Source organism: Homo sapiens, chromosome X (assembly GCF_000001405.40).
Source record: "Homo sapiens chromosome X, GRCh38.p14 Primary Assembly".
Lineage (NCBI taxonomy): Eukaryota > Metazoa > Chordata > Mammalia > Primates > Hominidae > Homo > Homo sapiens.
Genome location: NC_000023.11, coordinates 34,554,995 through 34,561,555, shown reverse-complemented (window position 1 = coordinate 34,561,555; position 6,561 = coordinate 34,554,995). Strand labels below are relative to the sequence as shown.

The following is a 6,561-nucleotide window of genomic DNA, read 5'->3' as shown; positions in this document are numbered from 1 at the left end:
GCCACTGCACTCCAGCCTGGGCAACAGAGTGAGACTCTGTCTCAAAAAATATAAAATAAAATAAAAATAAATAAATAAATAAATAAATATATATATAAAACGCATATAGAAATCAGTATTCTTGCTGCATTTTATGCAAATAATTAGGCCAAGTACAAGACTAAAGTCTGTTTTGCAAACAACACAGTCTTATAATGATTTGTTTTTAACATAAATGAGGACTAGAGAGAGAAAAATTATGTTTCAAAATCTATCGTATATTTGTCATTAAATTCTAGACCCATTAGTTGTTTTTAAGTTTTTGCCTACATTTTAAACTAACACTGCTCATTCCTGTAAACCAACCAGTGATCACCAACTGCAGCTCAGAAGGAACAAGAGGGATGGGTATTGTTAAAAATCTGGATCAATGTTCTAGTTCTGAGCAATTGTCCTGCAAATCCTGCCAGGTGATGGGAAGAAATTGAGTGCCCATCACCCGGAGGTCTTCTTTTTGGGAAAGTAAGACCAATGGAGTTAACCAAAGCCAAACTCCATGCACCCAAATCCTAGCGATCATAACTACAACTGCCAGTTTTATGGGAGTGTCACAAGACATCTTTTTCTCTCCCTTTTTGGAGAAGGACTGAATTCCACGGCTTCACCTTAGCATTTGGCTTATGATAAGGAGCCCATGCAACATCCCTCCCCCACGAGACAAATTTTTGGTCCCAAACTCAATTCCAAGTTTTGGGTCAAAGCCCTAAGAAAGAAAACTGGATCTAAGGGATCCAGAGGAAGATGATAACAAAAGTTAAAAGGCACAGCACAGGTAGGCATTACTAATTCCTGCCAGTTGAGCTAAGCTTCCTGTTTCATGGATAAAGGTCATGTTAGTATTCATGGCATAAATGAGTTCCAGGGAATTCAAAGGCTATTGACAGCAGGGGAGATAGGCATATGTGGTTAAGAGCAGATAGTCCCATCCCCTAAGCCCCCCTGTTAACATGGTTGAAAGCTGCTTTGACATCCATGGGTGGCACCCTGTCATAGTCACCAGAATTCAGGGATATAAGAACGGAGGAAAGAGGAATGCCTAACTTTTCCTCTCCCTCATGTACCCTGGGTATTTGCTAAGAAGAGAAGGAAACCAGATAAGTAGCCATTCATCTTCAGTCTGTGCCCCTTTCAAATGCATACTGACCCCCGCGGGACTCCTCTGAGAAAGAAGCCTTCTTTTTTTTCCTTTTTCCTCCTCTGTCCTCTCTTCACAGCTAGGTAATTGTGTTTTTATACTATGCGCTATGGGACACTCTTCTCAGGTGCATCCTCCAAACTGGGAAGAGTTAATTTCCCAAACCTTAGACTGGTTGGTTTAGGATTGGGCTCAGGGGAAGGGAACCCGGAATCCTGACATGCTGGCAACAGGGTAAAAGTTTGTTTTTTTTTTTTCTTTTTATACCAGTCAGACTTTTGGCCTCCCACTCCCTGTGCAAACGAGTAAAAGGACTCGGGATTTCTTGAGCTGTCCATAATCCGCCCCCCGCCTTATTTGTTTTGATATATGTTTTCTAATAACCCAGTTTTTCTCTTCTCACCTTCAGGCCATCAAACTCCAAATGGTCATGCAACCAGAGCCTCGGATGATGGCCCCTTTTGCCGGGGACCCTTAGATAGGCTGTCTTAGACCCTTAGACCCTGCCTTAGAGCCTTAGACCCTTAGATAGTCAGAAGAAGATCTGACTGCCATTTTCCCAAAACAGTACCCCCTGTCATCAGGAAGCAGTTAAGATTGATCTTTGTCCTTCTCCTTATCTTTACTCTAACAGCAGATAGATGTACTTCTTTAGAGGGGCGAATGAGACAGTCAAAGGCCAAGGCAGATAATAAGGGGTCCCTGGAGAATCTCTGACCTGCCCCACAAGTATTTACATTAGATGTTTTTGTGCAGATGAGGGAAGCTTGCCAGGGCTTGTCTGGGCATGCCCACAGTGGACTGGAGCCCAACATGCACATGGGGGATGTGGGTGGAGGAAGTGGGTGGAGAAGTGGGGGGAAGTGGGTGGAGCCACAGGGAATTCACACCCTATGCAGGGGAGGAGCCTGCTTTCTTCAGTCTATGTGGTGACCTGGGAATCAATCTATGAGGTAGAGAGCCTGTTAGCAGGTCTCTATCTCACTTTGCTGACTTCTTTTTTTTTCATTTTTTCCTTTTTGCTAAATAAAGTCCTGCTATACTCACACTTCAATGTGTCTGTGTGCCTAAATTTTTCTGGTCATGTGACAAGAAGCTAGGTTTTAGCTACACTAAGGAGCAAAGTTCTACAACACTTCTCCACTAGTGGTTTTTAAATAAATAAAGCTGGAATACTAATATAATCTTGCCTTTCAAATTGCAAAAGACAATCCTTTACCCTCCCCCCATCCTCTTTAAAAGAGAAGTATCTATAGACTCAATCAAAAATGATTCTGTAACCAAGAGTGCACCTGGTTAAATAATAAATTATTAACGATAATCCATGTAAGGAATCTCTGCTTCTGACTGAGATGGAGTAACAGGGGCTGGATTTGTCATTTGTGCAAGTCCATTTGCAGTGCTAAAAGGGAATATCTGATGCTGGGTAATTTATAAACAAAAGAGACTTATTTGGCTCATGGTTCTGCAGGCTGTACAAGAAGCATGGCACCTGCATCCACTTCTGGTGAGAGCCTCTGACTGCTTCTACTCATTGCAGAAGGCAATGGAGGGCCAGCATGTGCCAAAATCACATGGCAAGGAAAGAAGCAAGAGAAAAACAGAGGGAAGGTGCAACACTCTTTTTAACAAAAAGCTCTCATAGGAACTAATAAGAGTTACATAGCCTTCCAATCACCCCAGGGAGGGCATTAATTTATTCATGAGGAATCTGCCTCATGACTCAAACACCTCCCATTAGGCTCCACCTCCAACATTGGAATCAAATTTCAATATGAGCTTTGGGGGAATAAACATCTAAACTACAGCACCATCCTTTCTGAAATATCCAAAAGGCAAGAAATATATTGGAAATACCCAAAAATGAACAATCTCAGAAAGAAGCAAAAAAAAAAAAAAAAAGGAATATGGAAAAGACCGTGTGGAAAAGAGGGACCTAGTTCTAACCCAGCAGACTCCTTATGTTGAAAAGACAGAGATGAACGTCTGGGGAAACCAAAGCATCTAGAGTTCATAGGACAAGCTATCTGTAAAGAGAGAGCTAAGCAGAGAGAATGCTGGTGATCCACAGTGGAGCCTTCTTGATTTAGCTGAGTACTGACAGGTATGTGTGTGAGGAAACCACACAAACAAGGCGTTATGTATAATATGGCTGTTTTTGCTCCACTCTGAGCCTCAGGAACATTCTCATAGACTACATCATCCAGTCTTTGCCTTCGGCTTTTGATTAATTTTAAACAGTGGGAGGCACTTCTAGGAGGTGGGAAGAGAGGAGGAAAGAGATACTGATGGGTTTATTCTTTCTGTTTCTTCCCTGCTTCCTTGAGGTTCTGCAGTGGTTGAGTCACTAGGCCCTTGCTATTTCAAGTGTGATCCTTGAACCAGCAGCATCAGGAGCACCTGGGAGTTGCTAAAAATGCAGAATACCTGGCTTGCTTCAATCAGAATCTCCATTTAAATAGGATCCCCAGTTGTGCTTCATATACATACGAAAGGTCACTCTGTGTTCCAAGGCTCCAGCTTTCTCCAAGTTAAGGTACCACCTTTTCCTCCTCTTGTCTTTCCTGGCCCTGGGCCCATAATGGCTTTCTGCTGTCACTAGTCCCTTGTTAGATTGTGGAGCTCTGTCAACATCTCTGTAAATAGGTCCTTTTAAAATGTATCTTTTAGTCAACACTTTTAAGTGTACAATCTGTTTCCTGCCAACACCTTAAATGATACAGTAATATACTATCCATCTTAATATCTATACATCTATGTTGATAGCTATATACATACTCTATCTTTATAATACTTTTAGCATCCCTACCTCTTCCTGAAATTCAAAACAGCCTTTTTTATGTTTTGTTAAAAAATACATAGTATTAGCACTTTTTCCCCAGTTACAACTAAATAATATCTAATGATATACATCATAATTGCCCAAAAATGAAAATTCAGTTTTGGAGAAAAATTAAGGACTTCTGTGAATCTGGAGAAGAAAGCAAGACAGTACTTTGTGTTTGTATGCTAGTTTGGTAGGCAGCCTCTAAATTGCCCTACAGTGATCCCTGCCTGCTGATTTTTACACTGTTTTGTAATCTTCTTCTCTTGAAAATGGGCTGAAGTTACTGACTCACTTCTAACAAATAAGAATATGACAGAAGTGATGAAATGTGACTTCTGGGATTAGGTTATAAAAAGATGGTGGTTTTTGTCTTGAGCACTCTCTGTTACTCTGTCTTGCATTCCTCACATGGGAGGAAGCTGGCTGCCATGTTGTGAGGGAAGTTCTGTAAAGGGGCTTTACCTGGAGAGAAACTGAGACCTACTGACATATAGATAAATGAGCTTGGAAGTGGATCCCCACTGTCCCCATCCCCACCATTGAACATTTCAGACGAGAGACACCAGCCCCAGCCATGAAGCAAAAAATTAACTGCAGTAATAAAAGAAAAACTTCTGCCAAATTAAATCCAAAGGAGTTTAATTGAGCAATGAATGGTTCTTATATCAGGCAGCTTCCTGAGCCAGTGTAGGCTCTGAGACTCTAGTGCAGCCACATGGTAGAAGAAGATTTATGGACAGAAGAAGGAAAGCGATGTGCAGAAAACAGAAGCGAGGTACAGAAACAACTGGATTGGTTACAGGTTGATGTTTGCCTTATTTGAACACAGTTCAAACAGCTGGCTACATTTGATTGGCCAAAACTTGGTGATTGGCAAAAGTGTAAGCTGCAGTCTATTTACACCTCCACTTGTTATAGTTCACGATATACAGAGAAACCTTTAGGCAGAACTTAAAATATGTAAGGAGGCAGCTTTAGCCGAAACTTGATTTAACTATTCCCCGCTTTTGGTCATCTTCTCAATTTTGAGAGATTGATAAAAACTTTAGTCATTGATGTCACCCTCACCATTGTAAATGTACTTATTTGGTCTTGAAATCCACTGGGAAATGGTAGAGCAGTGGGTTTTGCAAGGTGGGAACAAGGACTGAGTAGAAGGTACCTCTTTATGCTGGAACGTTCTGTTCACAGGAGAAAAACAAAACCTGGTCTGTGTTGTCTTAAAGTCTTAGTTTGATTATGTCATATTTAGCATGAGTGACTCCATTTTGCTTTGGTCTGGTCTGTTGAGGCCTAGTGCATGAGCTCAGTCCAAAACAATTGCCTCACATAATTTAGTTTAATAAGACTCCCCTCTTTTGGTCAGATTCTCACTTAGGTGAGAGTGTGACCAAAACTTAGGGCCTAGTACCACTCTCAGTTACCATCATTTTGGGATTCTGGTATCAGCATGTCATTCATAGGTTATGGTGCCCTCATGGCCAGACATTTATTTTGGCTCTTGTCATTTCAGTTGAAGACAGACCACTTGACATTCTAGAGATGGCTGCATGCAAATGCTTAAAACTTTTGAGACAATACAGCATGATGATCAGGAGGATAGTATCAAGAGTTTGAGGTATGCTCCTTGCCCAGGGTCCCCATAAACCAAACCACCTAGAATTAAATAGATTAAATAATGAGCTACATAAAGGGTCTACTCATTTAACTAAGCAGTCTCTTCGTTAATTCCCTGCAACCGAATCTCTATAATCTACATTTGATGTATTTTTCCATAGGGCACAAGTGCCCGCAGCTGCACAGATACTTCTGTTTAGCCAGTAACTAATCTAGAGCAATTCCATTATTTAGCATAACTTTCGCAAGATAATTTAAAGTCTGTTGCGTAACCATAGCCTTTATAGTAGAGTCTGCTATACAGCCTGTCATGAGGGATACATTTCTAATCATCGCCTCTTTTACTCCAAACCATGGAAAAAGGACCACACAAATGATGCCTTTCTAGAAAAGTCAAGGCCTCTGAGAGATTTTTTCTTTAGCCCATGATGTAGGTTAAGAGGGGTGAACCAGTGTTCTGTTTCTGACTGATTATGAGGCAAAGTATGTACCATTAACATTTATCATCTACGTTGGGCCTTCATCTTCCATCTAGTAAGGTATAAGGTTATGCATGTGTAAGGCTGGCTGCAAAATCCTTCACAAATAAAAGTATACCCCATGAGTGCACACAACTGATCCCCTTTTCACTTCTATTGTCCTTAGAGACATAAGCAAGGGAAAAAATACTAAAAGGTAAGAGCCTCATGGTAGTAGAGAAGTCTTAATCCATGATCTTGGGAAAAGCTGTTCACATCAAAGATGCCAGCTTCTTCTGGGGAGAAACTTCCCTGGTAGGCTTTACCTTAAGGGTTCCAATGGGTGTACAGTTCCAAGATTGTGGAGGCAACCTTCTCGGTTGTGAAATTATAATCTCAAAGTTCAAGGTCGCAAAGTTTTTCTGTAGTGTGGATGGAAAGGGCAGTCTTTCTCTGATGTTCTCAGAAGATGCAATCTTCAGGTT

The 6,561-nt window shown here is 41.1% G+C and overlaps 4 annotated features.

The window, feature by feature from the left end:
- Positions 719-1,244: an enhancer, noted in NCBI's record as "OCT4-NANOG-H3K27ac hESC enhancer chrX:34578429-34578954 (GRCh37/hg19 assembly coordinates)". NCBI's record gives its function as "activates a minimal SCP1, AML or CMV promoter by ChIP-STARR-seq in primed H9 embryonic stem cells {active_cell/tissue: H9 hESC(primed)}" and the evidence as "EXISTENCE:reporter gene assay evidence [ECO:0000049][PMID:30033119]".
- Positions 1,245-1,770: an enhancer, noted in NCBI's record as "OCT4-NANOG-H3K27ac hESC enhancer chrX:34577903-34578428 (GRCh37/hg19 assembly coordinates)". NCBI's record gives its function as "activates a minimal SCP1, AML or CMV promoter by ChIP-STARR-seq in primed H9 embryonic stem cells {active_cell/tissue: H9 hESC(primed)}" and the evidence as "EXISTENCE:reporter gene assay evidence [ECO:0000049][PMID:30033119]".
- Positions 1,771-2,298: an enhancer, noted in NCBI's record as "NANOG-H3K27ac hESC enhancer chrX:34577375-34577902 (GRCh37/hg19 assembly coordinates)". NCBI's record gives its function as "activates a minimal SCP1, AML or CMV promoter by ChIP-STARR-seq in primed H9 embryonic stem cells {active_cell/tissue: H9 hESC(primed)}" and the evidence as "EXISTENCE:reporter gene assay evidence [ECO:0000049][PMID:30033119]".
- Positions 3,329-3,910: an enhancer, noted in NCBI's record as "OCT4-NANOG hESC enhancer chrX:34575763-34576344 (GRCh37/hg19 assembly coordinates)". NCBI's record gives its function as "activates a minimal SCP1, AML or CMV promoter by ChIP-STARR-seq in naive H9 embryonic stem cells {active_cell/tissue: H9 hESC(naive)}" and the evidence as "EXISTENCE:reporter gene assay evidence [ECO:0000049][PMID:30033119]".